At 39.2% G+C, this 24573-nt stretch overlaps 1 long non-coding RNA gene across 1 annotated transcript in view; it reads right to left on the bottom strand.

Moving 5' to 3' along the window:
- SUCLG2-DT (SUCLG2 divergent transcript) overlaps window positions 1–24573 on the bottom strand; it is a 293017-nt gene that overhangs the window by 86037 nt on the left and 182407 nt on the right. Inside the window, exons 4-5 of the long non-coding RNA NR_109992.1 lie at window positions 20838–21655; window positions 17325–17444 (exon numbers count right to left, since the gene is read on the bottom strand). This is a non-coding gene — a long non-coding RNA (SUCLG2 divergent transcript). The remainder of the gene's footprint in view (window positions 1–17324; window positions 17445–20837; window positions 21656–24573) is intronic.

Genomic DNA, 24573 nt, shown 5'->3' with positions numbered 1-24573 from the left:
TGTGACTGCCTCTATCAGTAGTATACATGGCAGAAGTGATCCTATATGACTTCCAAGGCTAGATCATAAAAGATAACACAGCTTCTACCTAATTATTTCTTTTCAGGGATGCTTGCTCTTGGAAGTTGGCCACCATGCTGTAAGGAAGTCCAGGCCACATGGAGAAGCCATGTATAGATGTTCGAGCCAACAATCCCAGCTGAGGTCCTAACCAAAAGCCGTCATCAACCACCAGATACATAAGTGAGACCTTGAGATGACTCTAGCCTAAGCAGTATCAGACTGAAACTACAAGAGAGATTTGAGCAAGAAGCACCAAGTTGAGCCCAGTCCACCTCCAGAACCTTAACAGATAATAATATATTGTTATTTTACATCACTAAGTTTAGAGTGTTTTGTTACACTGAAATAGATAACTGATACATAGTTGGATAGTACATTGTAATTTATAAAGCACTTTTACTTTCATTCTCATAACTCTCACAATCTTGTGGATGTAGATAAGAAGATTCTTTATGCAGAGGAAAAAGCTGGAGCTCTGAGAGTTAGGAATCTGGGATTATAAATATGAGAGAACTGGCCTATATCCTATTTCAGGTACTATTAATAGCTACATGCTCTTAGACAGTTTACTTAAATTTTGAAAGACTGTTTCTTTATCTGTAAAATGGGTATAATGTTACCAACCTTACAGGGCTGAGCAATGGGTTGTCTAATGCATGTGAAGTCATTAGCACCACCTCATCTCAATAAATGTTTCTGGTTTGGGGGCCCAATACCTTGGAGGTAGTCTTGACTCCTTTTTTTATCCCTCACATTAAACCCTCAGCATATTGTAGCAGCTCCAGCTTCAGAATACATGAAGAACCCCATGACTTCTCCCAATCTCCACTGGTCCAAGCCCCTATCATCCCTCCCCTTCACTAGGGCAATTGTCCCTATGATCTTCCTGCTCTACCCTTGCCTCCACATGAGTCTGTTTTCCATACAGCTGCAGAAGTGACCCAGCAATCATGGGATCGGGTTGTGTCATGCCTATGGCTTCCCATTCAGCATATTCTAGCCGCTCCAGCTGCAGAATACATGAAGAACCACATGCCTCCTCATTCCACTCAGAGCAAAAAGTCCCAACAGGAAACAGCCAGGCCTGTGTGCATAATCTGCTCCCTGTTATCTCTCCCACCTCATCTTCTTCCACTTTTTCCCCTTGCTCGCTCCCCTTCTGCCTTGCTGGCCTCCTTACTTCTCAAAAGGACCAGGCCTGTTCCAGCCTCAGGTCCTTTGCAGTTGCTCTTCCCTGTACCTGAGAGACTTTTTCTCCAGGCATCTACCGGGCTCATCCATCCCTTCTTTGGAGACTTTACTCAAATGGTAGCTCTTACTAAGGCTTTCAAAGACCATCTTATTTAAAACTGCCACCTTCCAGTACTCCAGCACTCCCATCCTCCTCCCTAATTTACTTTCTCTCTAGTGCTCATCATCATCAGACATTCCATATGCTTCGACTTATTTATCTGTCTGTCTCCAACGATACCCAATAGAGAGTGGCTTTATGAGAGCAAAAATCTCTGTCATTTTTTTTTGTTACTTAAGTCTGAGAACCTAGAACAGTGTATTTGTTCATCATAAATGAGTGCTTGACAACTGATTTAAAATTTTCTTAAAGGATAGCTATTGTCATATTATTAGAATTGAAACCCAAGTTTTCTGACTTCTACCTGTATATCCACTTAGTGGGTTGAATAATTGGCATCCTCAAAAGATATGCCACCTCCTAAACCTCATAACCTGTGAAAGTGGCCTTTTTTGGTAAAAAGGTCTTGGCAGATGTAATTAAGGATTTTAAGATGAAATCATCCTGAATTTAGCATGATCCCTAAATCCAATGACAGATTTCCTTATAAGAAGAAAAAAGGCATAGAGATTCAAGAGGAGATGACCATGTAAAGAGGGAGGCAGAGATTGGAGTAATGCATCTGCAAGTCAAGAAACATGAAGGACTGCCATGCAGCCACCAAAAGCTAGGAGAGAGACATGAACTGATTCCTTCTCAGAGCCTCCAGAAGGAACCAACCCTGCCAGCACCTTCATTTTGGACTTCTAGCTTCTACAACTATAAGAGATTACATTTCTGTTATAAGCCCAGTTTTGTTACAGCAGCTCTCAGAAACTAATACATCTGCTACACCCTGATGTCTCCTTGGAGACCAAATTGGTCTCCAACTCAGCCTGGCAATCTAGACTTGAGCTTATTCTGCCGTCAGGCCTCATTGTAAACTGTATGCCATTTTTCCATGTGGACAAGCACCTTGGCACAGCCTCTACTGTAGTCTGGGTACCACGTTGGCCACTTCTCTCACCAGCCCAGTCTGACCTCTGATCTTGATGCTTCCCAGCTTCTCCTGACCATGGTTCAGTGCTGCTGCACGTGGCTGATAAGGTTCCTTGGTCCTGCCTGTGTGCCTGTATTTCCAATTAACATCTCTAGACCTAAGTGGGCTGCACAAAATACAGCATTCAGAACCAGAACAAATTGTCTTTTGAGTCCCAGCCAACTGTCTGTGGATCACCCAGGGCTCCATACCAGCTGGTGATCTCACTGCCCCTCTGAACCTTCTGGCCAGACTGCATTAATAAACTGCTGAAAGAACCTTGGGTTCCTGTAACTTTTTCCAGGCTGATGTCTACTGTGATGTTTAATTTATGTTGTTAAGAAATAGAAGAAGTGCACTCCTTCCTGCTTAAAATGTTTATGTCAGCCGAGATCTGGCACTGTTTTTCCTGTATCATGAAGAAAGAGCATTAGGAGGAAGATTTTCTCTCTGAATCCAGAAAGGTTTAGCAACATCCTCCTCCAAACAGGTTGGGACAACATCATTTCAGATTTCCCAAAACTTCTGGATAGATGTGGACTCCCTTGCACAAACTGGTACCCAAATGTCAAAACTTCTTTCTTCTTAACCTGCAAACAGGGATTGGCAACTAAACAGATAGATTTCAAAATATCTTCTGTTTCCTGTTAACCAAGTTGTCATGCTCCCAACCTACCCTAATTTGTCAACTCTTCCCTCAATTCAGGCAAGATGAAGCAAGGGACACCCACTTCCTTCCCACCTCCTCCACCCACCTCCTTCCTTTACTCATTCACTAAGAGGGAAGCCTTCACTTTAAAAATAGAATTAAAAAAATATAAGAGCAGAGCTCTCAAGCACTCATCAAAGGGAGGTTTTTATCTCTGAATAGATGAAGGCTAAGAAAAATAGTTTTCTATCTAGGTTGAAGATTTTTCAACACAAAAAGAAATTCCATTCAATTGGCCCAAGATGTATTGAGTATTTATGTACCTAGAGTAGTATGTTTATGAAAGGCCTGCTCCCCCTAGCATGTTAAGTTCCTCGAGGGCAGGGATTTTTCTCTATGTTCACTAGAGATACTGCTTCTAATGGTCCTGGTGCATAGTCGGTGCTCAATAAATACATGAAGAATATTGAATGAAGAATGTTGAATCCTTAGGGAAGAAAGCAACTGGAGATTCTGGGAGAAACTTCTGAGAGGATCCTAAAATTCCAAAGCAGCCAGGCCTTCTGGGATGATCTAGTCTATACCTGAATTTTTATTAATGTTAATAATAGCCAGGGCTTATTATTGAGTGCCAAGCACTAAGCTGAGCTCCTTGGTTTCATTTCCTTATTGAATTATGTTGCTCTCCTTCTTATTCATATGAGGAGACAGGTGATCAAGGAAAGTAAGTAACTAATCTTAGGTCACACAGCTAATGAATGGCCAAGCCAGGATTCACACCCAGGTTTTTGAGGCCAGTGCCTAGACTCCAATTCTTTGGTATATTGCCACTTTTTATAGTTCAGTAAACTGAGGCCTAAAAAGTGGAAGAGGGTACCCTAGTTTGCACACCTCAAAAGTAGCATGGAGAACTTAAACTTGGCATTATTGGCATCCTAACTCAGTGTTCTTGCTATAACACCACACTGCCTCTTATCGCTAATAAAACCAGGAATTTTAAAACTTTAGCTCTTCTCATAAAAATGTTTTCTCATCCTGATACTCTTCCCTTTGGTACTTGGAAAGAAATCTGGTTGGTATCTTTAAAAAAGAAAACTTTTAAAGAATCAAAAAATTCTTTTGAGAAAAAGCAACATGTTTGATGACCAAAAGAAAAAAGGCTTTTATTCACATGGAAAAAGTTAACCTGCTTAAAATATTAATATAGTGTTTATATACTGCCTTTCTTCCAGGAACTGAATGAGTTTAATATAGCTCATTAATTCCTAGACTATTTCTGTGAGAGAAGAGAACAAGCATCATTATGTATATTTTAATATGAGGAAACTGAAGCATAGAACCAACTGGAGAGTTGGGAAATGGAGTGAATTTGTATTCCAAGCCAAATGCGAAAGACATGATCATTAAGTCAAGCTACAGCTAGAATGTTTGTTGAATGTGGATCATTTCTGTGAAGGATGTTGGTCTTTGTTGAGGTGCCTTGAGAAGCCTATGGCATGATAGCTTTAATCAGTCAGCCCTATGATTAATACAGCATTTTCTTGAAGTGACGATTTTTAAAACATGAGTCTCAAATTTGAGAATGTATCAGAATCACCAGGATGGAGAAAACACACATTGCTAAATCCCGTCTCCAAAGTTTCTGATTCACTCGCTCTGAGCAGTGGCTAAGAGTCTGCAGTTCTCACAAGTCCCCAGGCCATGCTGCTGCTGCTGGTCCATAAACACGCTTTGAGAACCACCCAACTATAGTGACTCGCCATTGCAGATGGCCCTGCCGGAGGTCAGCACACAGACTCTGCAATGAAAGCTGTCCAGGTTTGAATCCTGTTCTGCCACTTCCTAGCTAAATGACCACTGATAATTCATATGACTTGCTATTTTGTATTACAATTGATTTCTTTTGAAAAAAAAATCAGGCTTATGATAATTCTACGCAGCATGCAGCAGATAGAAAGTGTTCAATAATTGTTAGCTACCCTCCTATTTTGTCATGACTCAGGCTACAGGCTTAGAAACCTTCCCTGATGCTACAGAAACCCTCACTAACAAGGTATCATAAATTAGGAAATATCCCTCCCAAGAAGTTGGGCAGTCCCTAGGGAAATTAACCTCAGGCAGAAATCTTAATTATGGGAATGATCATGAAATTTGCAAGGCCTGATACTTTGATCAACAGGGAATATTATTTTAGGGCATGAACTCACAAGGTTTCCTTTAAAAGTCCTATTAGCAAGGGTAGAGATATGAACTTTGATATATTTCCAGAGAGTTAAGTATTGTAACAAATTATCAAATTTTAGTGATGCTGGTGAGGATAACTATGTTTGATGGAGGTGTATTCAGAAATACTTAGTCTGAATTCTAATGAAAGAGATTTTCCTCCATTCCTAGGTTGCATTTGTTCCCCGCTCAGAAGAAAGGATTCTGTGTATGTGCTGAATGATAATAGTATGTTAAAAATTTTACCCAAGTTTTAACAATCCTTCCAGAGAAATAGAGGATTTATTCTCCGTATTTAAATCAAATCACCAACAGAATGTAACAGAAATGATGATGTGCCTGTTCTGTGCCTGTCTTAAGAATGTATATCATCCTCTGCTTTTGCACTCTGGGGAAGGCCAGCTACCATGTAAGATCTGAATATCCTAAAAGTGCCAGGCTGTGCTAAGTCCAACCTAATCGTGTGAACTGAGTCCCAGATCAGGAGCTCCAGTCAATACCCCAGCCAACAGGCAGCTCTGATTTCCCTGCCATGTGGCTGAGGCTATCTTGGAAGCAGATTCTCCAGCCTTCAACAAGCTGCCCCAGCTGATGCAGTTTGGGACCAAATAAATAAAATGGTTATTGTCTTAAGCCACCTAGTCCAGTGTGGCTTCATTCATGAAGCAGCAACAAATAAGCGGAATAGCTAACTTAAAGAATAGCCCGGTGCTGTTTATTATAGGCACTCTGCATAAAAGTTCATCTTGATGCAGCCCCAACCAGCCCACAGTGATTTATTGGTGCTTTGTAAAACATATTGATTCCAAATAAACAATTATGCATGTTATTTGATACCAGTTACTAATAACAATTTTTTTACTGTTCTGTTCACAACTTTTTGATTTTTACATCAAGGAAGAAGGGCAAGGGAAATTCTCTTTCTTGATCTTGACTGTGACACCATGATGATCTAGACCTAACATTTCGTTACTTCTCATGTTCATTTTTATCATAAAAACATCAGAAAAAAAAGCTAACTGGTCAAAAGTACAAAGATGATGACTTAATTGACCAGATGGTTTCATGTGTATTTAAAACTACATGCACCCCAATGCATTTGAGGGCTGATGATAAAAAGATACTGACTGCACAGCGACACTTTCCATCCTCCAGCCTTACATCACTTGCCTTGGCAGAACCACACATTTCTATAGGTGATGGGGACCACTGCACACAGTCAAAATATCTAAGTTTGGTCATTGCCATTCACTTTTACCACTGCACTTCCCAAAATGAGAGAACACACACAAAATCCAAATGCATAGATGAGCAAATTGCTGCTTCATAAATCTTTCATAAGATCTAATTTTGTTCTATTTTAAGCCCTGAATGAAAACTCATACATATCCAGTTGTAACAGCCTGAGACTTCTCTTAAAAGAGGGTTAATTCTCAATGGAACCATTTCTCCAGATTTCATATTCCCTCTAAATCTTTCTTTTCCCCCAGAGAATAGCAGGTGGTTACATCAACGGTTTGCTATGCTAAGGAGACTAGAATATGTATGAAGGTTGTGTGTTTACTTTTGCAACTGTGGGGCTTTCCAAAACTTCTGCAAACAGGTACTTTAACCTCATGAAAGGTTTCATGAGAATTGAATACAGAGAGACATACACCTGCAAAAGAAATGAATTGTACTATTTGCATAGTACATTTGTCTTCTGCTGCCTACAGGGATGAAGGAAGGTAAGCACTCTGGGAAGGGAATTGTGCTTAGACTGCAGTTAATTCCATGGCTTCCTGGCAAGTTATTGCATGTTGGAAGCTCAGTATTCCCATCTATACAAGACAACAGAAATGCCTCCCCATGAATGAAGCAAAATAAATGAAATGTTTGGAAAAGCACATTGATATGAACTCTACACAGGCAAAGAACTATCATAATGATATTATTATTATTATTATTGTCTTAATTACCTCTAAATATTAAGAATCATTATCATTGTTGGTTATCTGTTTTGCACTCCTTGAAAGATTATCTTTACTACAGTAGTAGTTGTATGACCTTACACAAGTTAATTTTTCATCCCTAAGGCTCTCTTTTTTCCTCACCCAATATGGCAGAGTTGTGAAGATTACACGAAATAACCTTGGAGTGCATCGCCACCACTTTAGCACTCTATCCTGGGAGCCAATGCTGATTCAAGACCCTGAGTGCTTCAACCAGGGTTGCACCACCACAGCAGATTCCCCCAGTTTTATTCTTCTTGCTTCTGGCTCCCAGAATGAGGCAGCTGCTGTCAATACCCTGCCCACCTCATATCTCCGCAGCACAGCTCTGAGCTGACCTGCCATCATGTCCATCATCATGCCATCATCTTCCCTCTCTTTCTACTTTGCCACCTGAAGACTTTATGTACCCAAGAGCTCCACTAGCCTGTGTGCCGGGAAAAATCTCAACCAATGATGAGTGGAAGTTGGTGAATAAATAGCCCCGCTTCTCACTGCAGCACTTCTACTATGCTTTCTAGAAGATTTTTGATGATTCTCGGGAAGATTGAGACCCACCTGTCTACAGCAGTAACCCACTCATTAACATTCCTTTTAACAGGCTTCACTCTCTCCCCTCCTTCGCCTTCCCCATTCCTTCACTTGAGCTTCCTGGTTGACTTCCAAAACAAACACATGAGCCAAAGACCTTGTTTCAAGGTCTGCTAGTGGGAGATCCTAAGTCACCAAAGCCTGGGATGGATGTGCCTGACTTGCCAAGCCTATCATTAGCCCTTGCCCTGACTGTACAACAGCCCTTGCCAGAATAAGTGAGTGCCTGGCATTTTCAGCTTCTATAGTGACAGTAATTCTATAAGCTCTGTCTCTGTATTATCTTTATTTTCTATACTCTTCAAATATCAAAATATTTTTAGATACATACAATAAAAAATTATAAATATCTGCTACTCGATATTTCTTTCATCAAGAGAAGGAACGACACCTAGCTTTGTATTTGTATTTCTCTGGCGTGTAAATATATTGTAAAAACTCAAACATCATCTTTGTCTCTACTGCATGGTTCTCAACATCTGTTTATGAGCCCTCATAGTCCATGAGCCCCCCATGAGATTTCTGGGGCTTTTTGATCTTATGTTACATTCAACCAGCAGGTCCACTCTTTGATAATCCAAAGACTAGAAAAGAAATTGAGACACTGTCTTTAGCTCTTAACTTGCCCACAATCAAGTTAAGAAGACAATCATTTGCATAAATAATTCTGATTTAAGATGAACTCTGGCTAATGCTGCAATGCAAGTACAAAAGACAGGATACTGGGGAAAGGAAGGATTCACTTCCAATGAGGGAATCAGGAAAAGATTGGGCATTTAGCCATTTACAGATTCAATGCCATCTCTCAGACTAAGGCAACATGGCCAGCAAAACCATAGCACTAATCTGAAAACGTGCAAAAGTTGCTTTTGGCCCTGTGAGCAATCTGTAGCTACAAGAGTGCTCCTGTGAGTGACATGGTTTGTTATAGATTTACAGGGAGCTCCTCTAGGGAAGTGCATCTAGCAGTTATCCAAGTATGTACAAGTAAGCACAAGGTCAGAACCAGGTCAAGTAGGGAAGATGGCCACGTACTTGACACAACATTGAGACTCTTGCAGGACAGGGAATTTGTTCAGGAGATTTGCACTCACGGTCATATCCCATGTATCTTCTTCATATTTGGGGAGAAGCAGCTTTTTATTGGCAAAGGCAGGGCTGGTCCATGTTGGTCGGCAATGTTTTCTCTTTTTCAATAGCCATAGTTTACAACTGAAATATCAGGAGCTTGTTACACATAATGCTTTGGCAACCCTTGTACAGCACTACGCAAATGTCATATGATAGCATTTCTGTAATTGTCATATTTCAATTGCTGGTGTATCTTCTTATATCTAATTCTAACATATAACATAACATTTGATATCCATGTGAGAGTTTGATGGCTTTGGAGGCAAGGAACAGAAAACCCATCTCAAACCAGCTTAAACAACAAGGAAATTTACTGGCTTACATATCTGAAAATTCTAGAGATAGGGAAGACTAATTAAGGCCTGAATTCAGTTTCTTTGTGATTCTCTTGGCTGTCTCTCTTCTCTCTTAGCTTCATTCTTGAGCTGATAGTGAGAAAGCTGCCTTAGTTCTAACATGGTGATGTCCTTGGTGGAGAGAAGCCATCTTTTCCTGTGGCTTTCACTTTTCCAAATGCTCCCTGTAAACATTGTGTCTTGTCTCCTTCTCCTGGACTGAGATGCACACTCTTTCCTAAGCCAATTCTTCTGTGCAGCAATTCGTCCTGTTGGTTGTCCTGGATTCCTATACCAGTTACTCTCAAGGAGACAGGAAACAAATCAGACCCATCCTGAAGCTGGGGACAGGCTCCCCTCCCCTGAAGCATTTGTTGCTGATATGGTTTGGCTGTGTCCCCACCCAAATCTCATCTTGAATTGTAGCTCCCATAATTCCCACGTGTTGTGGGACGGACCCAGTGAGAGATCATTGAATCATGGGAGCTGTTTCCCCCATACTGTTCTTGCGGTAGTGAATAAGTCTCACGAGATCTGATGGTTTTATAAGGGGAAACCCCTTTCACTTGGTTCTCATCCTCTCTTGCCTGCCTTTCACCTCACCATGATTGTGAGGCCTCCCTGGCCACGTGGAACTGTGAGTTCATTAAACCTCTTTCCTTTATAAATTATCCAGTCTTGGGTATGTCTTTATCAGCAGTGGGAAAACAGGCTAATACAGTTGCCACAAGGGGGAAATCTAAATACCCAGAGTAAGTCAGGAAAGAAGGAGTGAATTACAAACTGCATCCACCATGTTAGTAGAGATTAAATGGCTTAAGATAGGTAGAGCACTTGGATAATAACTGTGATATGGAAAAATGCTTAAATAATATTAACCGCTCTTTTTGGAATGTTAAAATTACTAAGTAATCTATTTTTCTAAATACAATTCTAGAAATTCAGGCAAAGAGAAATTGGTGTCTAACCAAAAAAAAACTATGATCTTACATAAACAATTTTATAGATTTTTTACTTGACCAATGATTAGGTATTATATATTTTCCAGTAGAATTTTAGTCAATCAGTATGTTTTAATATCTGCACCATGAAAGACACAATTACAAATGCTACCTGAGACATTAAGTGTAAAAATATAGCTTCTTCTAGACACTTGGAAGCTAACACATAACATACATACCATATCAGTGTACAATAACACTGAAGGAATCAATATTCAATAATAAGTGAAATACTAATATTTATATGTAATATAAATATGTATATATAATCGATTTCTATAATAATAGAAATATAGAATAAGTGTTTCAGTACTACAGTGTTTAAGAGCCTGGTCTTTAATGCCATGCAACATATGGTTTGAAGTCTTGCCCTAGCATTGGCATCTGAGTGATACTGAGAAACTTGTTAATCCTTCCCTAGCTTTCTGTACCTATCTCATTGGACTATTGTAAGGGTTAAATTAAATGAGCTGATGCAAATAATTGTTGTCACTGCATCTGGCACACATTACATACTCCAAAAACATGAGCTACCCTTAGAATCACCATCCTCATAATGAGTCAGGTTTATAAATTTGATCTCAGTTTTAAAGGAAGTGTATGAAGTTGAAAGGTAAAAAATAAATAAATAAATAAAAATAGGAGATAGCTGACCACGTAATCACAAGTCACACTTGGGAACTCAGTGAACAGCCAAACTGGGGCAGGAGAAGACTCCAGGTAATAACAGGTCATATTTGTACAACATCATCTCACTGAATCCTCACCCCTTTTAAATTCAAGAAAGAAGAACAGTACCTAAGGTACTGAAGGTGCCCTGTGAGTAACTGTTGAATGGGTGATGATAGAATAAAAATAAAATAGTTGGCCGGGCGCAGTGGCTCATGCCTGTAATCCCAGCACTTTGGGAGGCTGAGGCGGGCAGATCACGAGATCAGGAGATCGAGACCATCCTGGCTAACACGATAAAACCCCATCGCTACTAAAAATACAAAAAATTAGCCGGGCACAGTGGTGGGCGCCTGTAGTCCCAGCTACTCAGGAGACTGAGGCAGGACAATGGCGCGAACCTGGGAGGTTCACACTCATTCTCATCTTCTAGAGTTGTAAAGATTCAGTGCAGCAATGCATAGAGGACTTTTTAGGACACCACTGGTTTTTTTTGGGTTCTCCCCACTCTATATTTTAATCTGTGCAACTCACAGCTCTGTTCTCCATTTGTCAGAGACTTTGATGTTTGCTTTTCCAGCTCTAGGAGCTGTGCATTCACAAAGAAAGGGTGGCAGGGATTGCTGTTCCACTGAAACCCCTGCAGAGAGGCAACCACCCCTCTCATCACACACAGCATTCAAACTAGAAAAAATGGCTACAATTTCATTTCCATGAGTCTGACACTCAGGACTGGCCTGAGTGTCATATTAATAATTTGTGGGGTCCAGTGCAAAATGAAAATGTGGAGCTTCTTATTTCAAACCTATTAAGAATTTCAAGACAGGAACAGCAGAGCATTAAACAAGGTATGGGACCCTTTTGAGCTCATGCACAGGTTGTACACTCTAAAGCCAGTCCTGCTGATAGACTTTAAGCACTCTCCTTCCCATATTCCTTTAGGGTGGAGGTATATACAATGGAGACTCCATTGCTATAACTTATCCACCTATGTAGTCAGCCCTTTGCTACTTCTGTCCCAAATGCCTGACCATAAGTGTTCCTCCTTCCTTTGATCTTTGCATTAAACTTACTTTGCACTCTGAAATCCAACTACCTAGACTCACGTTTGGATTCCACCCCTTACCAGCCTGTATGACATGGGCATAGTACCTAACTTCTCTTTACCTTTATTTTACTAAATAGAGGTAAAAATCCTGAAAATTGAGGATAATGATAATAGCAACCTTATAGACCTGTGGGATGAACAAGCTAAAAATTTAAAGTTTATGAATAGCATCTAATGCAGTGGTTCTCAACCATGGCTGCACATTCAAACCTCTTGCAGAGCTGTTTAAAACTTCCATATTGCTGGGTCCCCACTCACAACCAATTGAATCAGAGTCTTTATGGGGCCAGGATATTGGTAGTTTTAAAAAGCTCCCCAGGAGATTTGAGTGATCAAGAGAGTGGAGGACAACTAGTCTTGTGCATGGCAAGTATTCAATACAGTGTTGGCTAGTTAATACACAGCATAGCTAAACAAAGAAGTAAAATGTTCTGCATTTCGGTTCTTCCCTTGGATCTACTCTGCATCTGGCTTCTTTCTCCCATTCCCATCAGCTTTTATCCAACATGTACCTGAAAGCAATATAAATCAAAACTGAAGATGTCTTAAGGTGCTCCCACTGAGACGAAGGTGCCTTTGAATTCAGGTCTCCCCATTAACCTAGAGATGAGAGGGGGAAATGTCAACTTCTCCAACAGGGGTCTTTCTTTTGATATCAAGGTGGGCTATACTCCAAAAGCTTGGCACACTGAGGGCTTTAGGGGACAAGGAGGACTTCAGTCAAGTCACCAGAGATCCTTAAATAATGCAAAGCAGAGGAGCAAGGCAGTGATGAGAATGTTAATTTCTTGAGCTCATATTTCTCTCCCATCGGTGCGCATAATCATCTTTTGAAAATGTCCTTTTGTCATATTTATGATGGTGACACATCCATTATGAATACAGTAGCTCATTTGCAACATGACCTGACAAATATTGAATGTTCTAGGCTACATTTAATTCCATGATAACTAAAATCATTTGTGTTTCTTAATAACCAGAAAGGGTTCACATTATATAAAGCATAAAATAGGAAGAACTTATGATTTGGCCTTCACAATCAATCCAACAAAAGGACGTGGCCTGGGGTTGAGATAGGAGCTGTAGGAGTGGAGCCAATTTGGCCTCAAGATAAAGAGGATTTCAATTTCAGGCTGAGGTTCAGGGACACATTTTTGGAGGGAAGCTGGATGAACTAGTGACAAATGGTTTTCTAAGTAAAAGTCAATGACCATCTCCTCCAGCTACGTCAAGGAATCGGTTTACAAACCCAAGGCCTTTGAAACTCAGACTATAAAATCTGACTTGGGGAGAATCTCAGAGGCCCAAATTCCAACATCCAGTTGTTGAATAATTGCTACATTTGCTGTGATTGTGGATCTAAGAGAAAGGAGGAAATCCTGCCTGAAAGCTGTTTATGTTCTAGTTGGATCCACAATTCCTAAACACCTGAGAAGGAAACTCCTAAGAGGTATTACAAAATCACATAGGTTTAGATGGCAAAAGAAGCATTATAGTCAGGACAATGTTTTCAATGAATTTTGCAATCATGGTGAGTCCTGAAGTTCGCTGTGTAGGTTAAAAGAAAGATTTCTTTTTGGAAGAACAGAAGAGAATGAACTGAACTAGTCTAAATCATAGCGCTTTTCTTTTTGTTAAGTAAGTTGTTAGGATTAAGTACTGTTTTCTAAAAGTTTTGTTTCATTTATATTTGCTTATGTATGTGCATCTTAGATTATGATGTAAAATGGAATTTCGCTATCATATTCAAGGTCCAAAAAGAATGAAATTCACCATTATTAGGGGACAGAGTCTCCTCAGGGCCCTTAGGGCAGAATTTACAAATTGGTGGTTCACAGGATACATACAGCCCATTAGCAGTGGGTCGATTGGGAATTTTATTGTTGTTGTTTTATGGTTCACAAAATGAGGTTCTGAAAAAATAAGACAAAATGGTCAGCAGTTAAAAGTCAGGAGGTTTCATATTTTAAAAGCACAGATTTTGGCTGGGCACGATGGCTCATGCCTGTAATTCCAGCACTCTGGGAGGCCGAGTTGGGTGGATCATCTGAGGTCAGGAGTCCGAGACCAGCCTGACCAACAAGGTGAAACCCCGTCTCCACTAAAAACACAAAAATTAGCTGGGTGTGCTGGCAGGAGCCTGTAGTCCCAGCTACTCGGGAGGCTGAGACAGGAGAATTGCTTGAACCTGGGAGGCAGAGGTTGCAGTGAGCCGAGAGTATGCCCCTGCACTCCAGCCTGGGCAAAAGAGTGAGGCTCCATCTCAAAAATAAAAAATAAACATAAAAAATACAGATTTCTAGCTTTTCTTCAAATACCAGAACATTTGGGAATAATGAGTCTGTTTACCCACAGACCAGGAGAGCCCAGACAAACTTTCTTCTGAAAAAGGAAAAAGTCTGATGGGTAAGTCACATGGATCTATTCCCACATTATTCTTTATCCCTGGATCTTTTGGCTTGACAATGATTGGGACCTGGTAGGTGCTCTTGCCCCAGCCTACATTTTTGACCTTGTTGCTCACCCACCTTCTGTTCCAGTCAAACTAGAGAGCTAAACTATGCAAGAATAGTTCTGGCAATCCTCTAAATGCGTAGCACTCTCTCTTCACCTCAGACCCTCTGCTGGTTGAAACCTTTGCCAAAGCCCAGGCCAAACTTACAGACCTTCCAAAAAGCTTTTCTGAATCTTGCATCTCCTGATAGTTTCCATTCCTGAATCCCCTATTCTCTACTGCCCTTGCAGTACTCTATAATTCTATACTCTATTATTCTCTAAAATATGTCATTCTTATTTTCCATCATCTGTCTCCTTGAGTAGGTCATGAGCTCCCTGAATGCAGGAACCATGTCACATTTGTCTCTACTTTACCATCCCATTGTCTAGGCCAGTGAATTGTGTATAGCAGATACTCAATAATTGCTTGAAGAATTGCATTACAAAAGATTTCAATATAAGCTTATTTATTAAAGCATTGTTTGAAATAGAAAAAAAAGGAAAACAATCCAACTGTCCATCAGTTGAGTTTGAATAAATCAATCGCAGCACCTCCATACAATGAAATACTCTGAGACTAGTAAAAATGATTTAGATCTATATTTGGTGATGTATTATAGAAAGATGCTTAGAGCATATTACTAAGTAAGAAAGCAATTTCCAGAACCACAAAGACAGCATTATCTGAAAAAAATTTTTGAATAGACACTTTTATGTATAAAGAAAATCTAAAAATATATTTATTCATTCACCTCACAGATATTTCCTGAATTCCTACTATGAGTCAGAAATTATGCTAAAAGCTGCACATATAGGATTTAAATAAGCAAAATCTCTATGAGCATGGAGTTAACAGTCCAGTATGGGAGGTGAAGAAAAATTATATGTAAGACAATAATGAGTGCAACAAAGAAAAATAAAGCAGAAAAATTGGATAAAGAGTGACAAAACTAACGTGGAGAAAATTTGTATATTAAATAAAGTAGTCAGAAAACAACTCTTCAATTAGAGATTATTTTTCCCAGAAACGTGAATGAAGTGAGAAAATAAGCCACATCGTTATCTGGAGGAAGAGGATTCCAGGCAGAGAGAACTCCCCGTGGAGAAGTCCTGAGGTATAATTGTACTGGCTGTGATGAGAGACACCAAGTAGAAGGAAATGCAATATGAGATGAGATCAGAAAATTAGTGTGACATCACATTATGTAATGCCCTATAGGGGACTTTGAGTCTTATTCTGAATTGAGAGAGAGGCTGGGCAGGCATTAGAAGAATAATAAAGAGTTTGGTAATAGACTTGGTAAGTTCAAGTGATCTATTAGACCTCCAAATGGGAGGTAGATAGTTTGATACTTTATCTACCATTCAGGAGGCATGTGTAAGCTGTATTATACATTTGGGATAACATATACAATGGCATTTAAATCCATCTTCTAGGTTGGCAAGACTACTTTGAAAATAAATGCAGAAAGCAAAGGGGTCTGTAAACAAAAACTAAAATTCTAAGCCCTCCCAACTATCCGAATGGACCCCTCCTCTCAGCCAACGGCATTTCAAAGTTAACCTGAAAAACTACTTCAAGCCATAATGGGAAGTGGTGGAGGAGAAGGTGGTCAGACATGCTTCATTACCATTAACATCAAAACAAACCTAAAGACTGATAGAATAGACTCTTTAAGTCTGATAAGAAACATTTACAATCTATTCTCTCTAAAGCCTGCTATCTGGAGGCTTCATCTGCATAATTAAATCTTGGTCTCCACAACTCCTTATCATAACCCAGACATTCCTTTCTTTGGATAATAACTCTTTCAACCAATTACCAATCAGAAAATCTTTAAATCTACCTATGGTCCAGAAGTCCCCGCTTCGAGTTGTCCCACCTTTCTGGACCAAACCAGTGTACATCTTACATGTATTAATTGATGTCTCGTGTCTTCCTAAAATGTATAAAATCAAAGCTGAACCCCGACTACCTTGAGCACATGTCATCAGGACCTCCTGAGCCTCTGTCATGAGCAGCGTGTCCTTAACCTTGGCAAAGCAAACTTTCAAAATTGATTGAGACCTGTCTCAGATACTTTTTTGTTCACAGGTTTGAGGACTGAGGTTTCATGGCATTCCATCATTTACAGGTCTGGAAGATTAAAGAAGCTGAAGAAACATTACTTAAAAGGAGGAGTCTGAGAAATGAGGAAAAAGGACAGAGCTAAGTTAAAGGAACTTAATGAAGAAAGTACAGTAGTAATGAATGGATGCTTACAAGCTTAACGATGGTAGCAATAGCTTTTGTTGGTGAACATCTCTGTGACAAACCCCACAGAGCCCAGATGAGGATGTCAATAGTGCTATAAGGCTATCCAGTTGATGAAATGAGTAGCAGATATTTCCTCCCTTCGCTAGTTTTCCTAACCTTCGGGTATCAACATCTCCAGTAGTTCAACCGCAGACATTCCTTTTGTCAGGTAACTAAAGAAACTATACAGTCGTTGTGTTTTTTAACAGAATTCAGTAGAAGAGAGTATGCTAGTAGGTGGTGCCAGATAATTATACAAATCATTTACACCTGACATTTGCATGTTACAACACTATTATGCAGAGTGCCATTCTAGATTTTAATCTTATTGTGTTCTTATATGAGCCTAGTGAGTTAGGTTATGCAGATGTTGTTACAATTATTATTATGGTAGAATTGCATCTTATTTGGCAGTGGGGTTCTAAAGTACATAAAGAGAAAATTGTATATAGTCAAAATTACCTCTGAGAATTTTTTCTTTAAAAAACTCCAACACACTCAGTTTTCCTGCAAGTATTAGGATTCGTTGCTGTTTCTTCCACTCATGCCTGGTAAAGTGGATGGCTTCTCTATGGGCTCATGCTGTTCAAGAAAATAGAGACATGTTCAGTATAGCAAGATGCATGCTATTTCTTCATTTCTTTCCCTCCCGTTCTTCTTTCTTACCTCTTTTCATAAATATTTATGACCTCTCTTACATATAAGGCATTATCATAGGTGTTGTATATACAGTCATGAAACAGAGAGACTATATTCTTGGCCTCGGCAGGCTTACAGTCTAGCATACACTGTGAGAAGCACATGTAATGCGGGAACAATAGTCCAGATTTTTGGCACACATGCTATTGCCATTTATGGCTAGCAGAACTCTTGCACTAATTAAATTACTTCTTTTCCTCTAACAGAGTGTTTATATTTGAATTTGCCTAAGATAAACTCCCATCAGATGCAATTCTGTATTACCATAATACAAATAAAGGAATAGGCTTAGAGAGAAAGGGTGACTTCCCAAGAGTCATTCTATCATAGCAGAATTGGACTTTAAGTCCAGGTTTAAAAAATTTTACATCCCATGTTCTCCTTCCTCTGTTCTCCTAGACCCCTCTTCTCTCCTCTGACATGGTTACTCTTTTGGGCTGAGTCAGCACCTCCCTTTGTCCCTCCTAAATGGGACAGCATGGCCTTGCTCTTGTCTTTTGTTTGCCTTTTGCTCGCCTTTTGCTCTTGACCGTTCTGTCCCCAGATACAAATTTCTGTTTCTATCCTCATCTTAGCCTCACCTGAAGAAAATGTGGCTATAAACGTCTCCATTGCTTAGTCTTTTGCTATTGGTATCCTTGACGCTTGGTCGGAACTAGCCCAGGCATAGCTATTGAATAGAAAATACTTGATTTCACTTTACTGACATCTCAACTTTCCAACTTCCCTGGAGATTCCATTATATTCCTACAACCCAGGTAGGGAATTGTCATTTTTACTGAGGATAAACCTATTTAGGTGAATGTCCCTCTGCAGAATCATTTATCTTCCATTCCAATTTATACTGTAGACATGGCTCTTATCCAAAACATGGTGATTTATTAGGGTTTCTATTTAGGACTGTGTTTAAAGACACTATGCCCTACATTGTGAGATTGTTAAAGTAAGAAATTCCCATAAAATTAAATTTCAAGCAGAACAAATTGTGTGGGGAAGGAGAGACGGGATTGTCTGAAGTACATGAATTCTTACTGGTGAGACTGTGAAACCCTTTGTATCATGTCAGGTTGAACTCACCTATTACTTGGTAAAAGTAGAAAGTTAAAGCAACGTAACTTCATTTAGGTAAATAGATGTGCTATATTTTGAAGCTGCTCTAAATGTTTTTGAATAGTTGCCACTGTAATTTTATGATATAATGACTTGGTTTAATGTCACGGTCATTTAATGAAGTTTTTACATTCATCTGAGGTAAGCTATGAGAAGGAACAAGTGATTACTTGCAAACAGAGACCTTTTACAAATTGGTTTTCAAAAATAAGGGGAAGAAAATGGTGAAGTCTCCAGATCCTTTTCTTCACTAAAGAGCCATTGGCATGCAGTCACCTTTCTGGGCCTCGGTTTCTGTCAGGGTAAGAAATGTTAGCTGCTATAAGGAGCAACCTTGAAATCTCAGTGATTATTTGCTCACTCACTCCAGTATAAGGAGTTTGTGTGGGAGGTGAGTTCTGGCCCTTACAAATTATGGCTCCACCATTTTCAGCAAATAGTCCCAAATTAATACCATTTGAAAGTTTTGCTGGGTGCAGTGGCTCACGCCTGTAATCCTAGCACTTTGGGAGGCGGAGGTGGGTAGGTCACGAGGTCAGGAGATCGAGACCATCCTGGCTAACAAGGTAAAACCCCATCTCTACTAAAAATACAAAAAATTAGCCGGGCGTGGTGGCAGGCACCTGTAGTCCCAGCTACTCGGGAGGCTGAGGCAGGAGAATGGCGTGAACCCAGGAGGTGGAGGTTGCAGTGAGCCGAGACTGTGCCACTGCACTCCGGCCTGGGCGACACAGTGAGACTCTGTCTCAAAAAAAAAAAAAAAAAAAGAAAGAAAGTTTTTTCATGGTTACCATTATTGCCCTTATGAGAAAACCATTTTCAACAGTCAACTCACTCTTTCCAGGATATTTTCTCTTACCTTTTTCCCACACTGCAGACTGGCTACAACTTTAACTTGGATAATCATGAAAGAGTTGGCTATCTCTTTGATACCAAATTATTACATTGGAAATAAATGCTTACATTGTTATCTACCTCTAATTATGTAACATTTTAGGCTTCTTCATTACTCAAGTATACGAAATAACAAATTTAACAACTCTTTAGTTAATTGATTCTGGATGTGTTTTTCACAAAACTTCAGCCTTAAGAGAAAAGATATCTGGTTGATTCAGAAAAAAAAAATTTTTTTTCCAAAAAGTATTTTCTCAAAATAATTTCTTAATGGAATTTAATGGTGTTTAATATTCAAGTTCTTCTCTTTTTTCTTTCTTCTCTGAGGAAAAGAAACTAAAATACCAAGTAGATTTCAGATCACAAAAAAGAGGAAACTGGCAGGAGGCTTAACTCTTGGTGTCTTGGATTTTTTTTCCTACTACCAAACAGTCCATATTTTTTTCTTTCATTGTATTTATTTAACTCCTTCTTCATATCTACATATGACTTTTTTACACTGCTAATTTTTCATTATTTGCAGTATTTACTATCTAAGGTTTGTGGTGGCTGGTTTTGCATTGTTTTTAGTTTAAAAGTTTGTTGTTGTTTTTGGCTAGCTATATGAGGTATATTCCTGCACTTCTCTACTTCTTGACCATTGTGTAATACTGTCTAATTATTCAAACCAAGGTGATTTGAATAATTAAAACTTGATCCCACGTTTGAGAACCTCACACATAGTCTTGGCCCCACAGAAATCATCTATATGTGGAATTTCATGAGGGTGGGATTTAAAACATGTCTTATAGGACAGAAGGGAATATGAAGAGGAAGCCTTATGACGCTGAATGGGATAATAAGTTTAGAGGTAGACTGTGCAAAATACAAGGTCTATTTTTGCAGAGTTAGAGAGCAATTTGGGGAAATGGGTGAGACCCAGATAGGGATGCCTCATATAAACACCTAGAATATTTAGACTCTAGAGAAGGTTTCTTCAAAGTGTATTTCAGAAAGCACAATTTCCTTACTGCTCCATAAAAAGAGGAAATCATGTATTTAAGATATGCTTCATATGACTTTTACCTCTATTATTAATGTTGAACTTTGGTTTAATGCTTACTCTTGCCCTAAACCATGGCTAAGTTTGTTACTTGCATTATCATTTGTTGTTTTTTGGTAGGTAGATACTATCATCACCAACATCATTATCATTGTATTTATTATTTATTGTTGTGTAACAAATTACCCTAAAAACTGGCTTAAAACAACTTTGAACATTTATTCTCTCACCTTTTCTATGGGCCAAGAGTTTGGTAGCATCTTGACTGGGAGTTCAGGCTCAACATGTCTCAGTTAGTTGCAGTCAAGTCATCAGCCTTAGCTGAAGTACTCTGAGAGCTTGATTATGTCCTCAGGGTGCACTTCCCAGTTGGCTTGCTCACATGGCTGCCATGTTGGTGCTGGTTATTAGTTGAAGGCTTTTTCTCTACGTAGGCATTCTAATGGGCTCTTTGAGGATCCTCATGACATGGCAGTTGGCTTCCTCCAGAACAAGTTATCCAAGAGAGAGCAAGGAAGAGATACAGTGTCTTTCATGACTCAGCTTTGAATACAACTCTGCAACATCCTATGGGCTATAAAAGTCGGTCCTTTCTCATGGGGGAAGAGACTACCAAGTGTGTGAACACAGTGTGAGAGGATAATTGCAGGCCATTTCAGAGGTCATAATCATTATCTTATTTTGCAGATCAGGGAACTAAAATCAGAGAGACGAAGTCATTTGACAAAGAACATAGAACATTGGGAAAGGTCACTTAAACCCAGACACTCTGATTTAGAGAAAGCAAGTTTTGAAACTATTCTATATTTATCTCCAATAGATGATTTCTTTATTACTGTCACATGGATATTAACATAATAGTCAGATAAATCTTTCTGTAATGAAAGTGCTTTCCAAACTCACGAGTTTGTCTTTTCTTTTTCTTTCCTTTTTTCTCCCTCCCTTCTTTTTCTTCCTCCTTCTTTTCTTCCTTTCTTTTTCTTTCTTCCTTTTTCTTTCATTTACATAGAATATTAACAGCTTGGAGAACATGTTTTGGGAAATATCACTGTAGGAAATAGGGATAATCAGAAGATTTTAAATAAGACAAAGAAATGAAGAGAATGGTATTGGGGTAGATTAATTTGATAAGTGTGGGGCACAGATTGGTGGGAGAAGGAATCAGAGGCATGCAATTGTGTTTTTTTAAGAAAACAGAAACCAAACAAACATACACAAAAAGGTAAACAAAAAGCAAGGGACTATTGCACATGTGACTTGGAAAAAAAAATCAAAAGAAAGAGTGAAATAATGCAGGGTGGTGAAAGGGGGAGAGCAGTCTACAAACTACATAAAGCAGAAGAGTAGAGTGGTTAAAGGCAAAGCATTGAGTCAAATATGTCAGACTTTTTTCTTGGCTCTGCCCTATAAGCTAGGGGATATAGGAAAAGTCAATTCAAACCCATCTGACCCCAGACTTATTCACCTGAATAGGCAGGCAAAATTATGGTACCTCCTGTTGTTGGGAGAATTAAAAATCACATGGTAAATGTTCATAAAAGACCTTTATCACTATTTTTCATATTGAACTATAATTACCTGAAGAAATACAAAATTAAAAGTGAATTTTTATTGTAAATAGGATATTAATTTTTTTAAACATTTTTCAAAACCTCAGAACCCTGTCCTTGAAGGTCTTGTAAGTGATTAATGTATCATGATAAATATGACATTGTTCTAGTTGAAGGAAGGAGCCCAACGTCTTGCTCCCATTCCTTTTCTATCCTGAAGTGTTAGTCAAAGAAACTGTATAGAATGCCAGGAAATTTGCAAGGTGCTTTTTGAAAATCATCAGATTAAAACCAAACCACCAGTGCCAATTTTTGAGGTGAACTATGAGAAGATCATGGTACAAGTAGAAGAGATGTTTCCCCATAGACTCATATAAATAGAGACAAATGAATATATCCTAACACAAAGCATTTGCAACCCCAAAAAGCTTAATTCTAGAGCCACGGAGGAGAAAAAGTGAATAAGCAATAAGCCTGACTACTGAGGTCAGAATTTAGTTTCCGTTATTACTAATGAACATAGATTTGCATAAATATTTATCATAACTTTGCAGGGCAGGTGCTGGATCTTATTTACTGCCATATCCTCACTGTCTTGCTCAATACATACCATTTAATGATGCTTGATAAATATCAGTGGAATGAATGAATGATGGAGTCAACGGATAAAGGAATGAATGTTTGCATGAAAGGGTTAGGTAGAAATGAGAATAAATGGATGTGAGAAATAAACACTTAAAAAGAAAAATAAATAAACACTTAAAAAGAATAATAAATACAATTTCACTGCAAACCGATGCACTGAATGAAGGAAAGAAATTTCCAGACTTACAAGAAACAAGACAGCTGAACTTTATGATTCTCTTTTGGCTTAAAAAGCCCACACTTCTAATGTTTTGTGAGTTACAATGTTCTCTACATCTTTAAGCTTCATTTCAAGACTGCTTCAATAATACTGCATTTCATAGAAATTTGGAATTGAGGAGGAAAAGCCCATTTGATAGAGAAGATAAAAGAATGCACATCTATTATATATCAATTACAAAATTGAAAAAGTTTTTAAAAAAGAATTTGAGGCCTCTGTTAGGGTTCTCTAGAGGGACAGAACTAAGATCTATATATAGATATATATAAAAAGGGGAGTTTATTACGTATTAACTTCCATAATCACAAGGTCTCACAATAGGCTGTCTGCAAGCTGAGGAGCAAGGAGGGCCAGTCTGAGTTCCAAAACAGAAGAACCTGGGGTTCGATATTCGAGGGCAGGAAGCATCCAGCACGGGAGAAAGATGTAGGCTGGGAGGCTAGGCCAGTCTCTCTTCTTCACGTTTTTCTGCCTGCTTTACATTTGCTGGAAGCTGATTAGTTTGTGCCCACTAGATTAAGGGTGGATCTGCCTTCCCCAGCCCACTGACTCAAATGTTAATCTCTTTTGGCAATACCCACACAGACACACCCAGGATTAGTACTTTGTATCCTTCAATCCAATCAATTTGACACTCAGTATTAACCACCACAAGTCCACTCCGTGTCAACTTGAACCCATAAACATCTCCTGAGATCATAAATAATCTTCAAATAAAGACAATAATAAGGTCATAATTAGGCCTAGCATAATACAACTATCCTTCAAACAACCGGAAATGCAACAATCCCCAACACAAATACTGTTACTTAAAGTTAACAATATTTAAACGCTTATATGAAGTCAGTACATCTTATGTCACATGATAAAGGAAAAGGAAATAAAATAAAGATATTTTCTTAGTACAAGTGTATACATGCACAAACATGTTTTTCACAAAAGAAGGAGGAAATACTCATGACAATTACAGTCTTCGTTTCTGCAGCTGGTCACGTGGTCGTAGCTGGTATTGACGACTACCTTCTTCTACTTCCCATTCTGTATTCCCTTTGCCTTCAGCAAGCATCTCAGCAGGTCATGGTTTGTTGCTTTTTTTTTTTTCCTGGTGGAGTGACCCAAACCTTCATTCCTGAGGAATCTGGGCCATTTGTAGTCCTGCCTGGATTGGGCTGTTGTAGTTTCCAATTGACCTTAATCACAGGGCATGGGAATAATAAGAGATGCCCTAATGTATCTCCTGTATTCCATGCATACTCTTCCTTACCTCCATTGTGGAGTAGACTGATTTCATCTTGATAGTCCAGGTCAATCACCCCAGCCAACACTGTAACTCCCTTCTTAGCCTGTTGACTTAAAGGCAGAAGGAGCCCAAAGTGTCCAGGTGGCAACCTTAACTTCCAGTTTAATGGAATTGTTGTTGTGTCTCCTGGTCGCAGCATTCCTCCCTCTGGAACTAAGACCTCTAGGCCGGCAGAACGTAGTATCTTGGGAACAGGAAGCAAAACTTTTGCTAGTGGATCACTAGGGGTGATGGTGAGTGGTGCCACTCCC

This window comes from Homo sapiens, chromosome 3 (assembly GCF_000001405.40).
Source record: "Homo sapiens chromosome 3, GRCh38.p14 Primary Assembly".
NCBI classification, from domain to species: domain Eukaryota; kingdom Metazoa; phylum Chordata; class Mammalia; order Primates; family Hominidae; genus Homo; species Homo sapiens.
The sequence above is the reverse complement of the archived record's forward strand: the minus strand, read 5'-3'. Positions and strand labels throughout refer to the sequence as shown.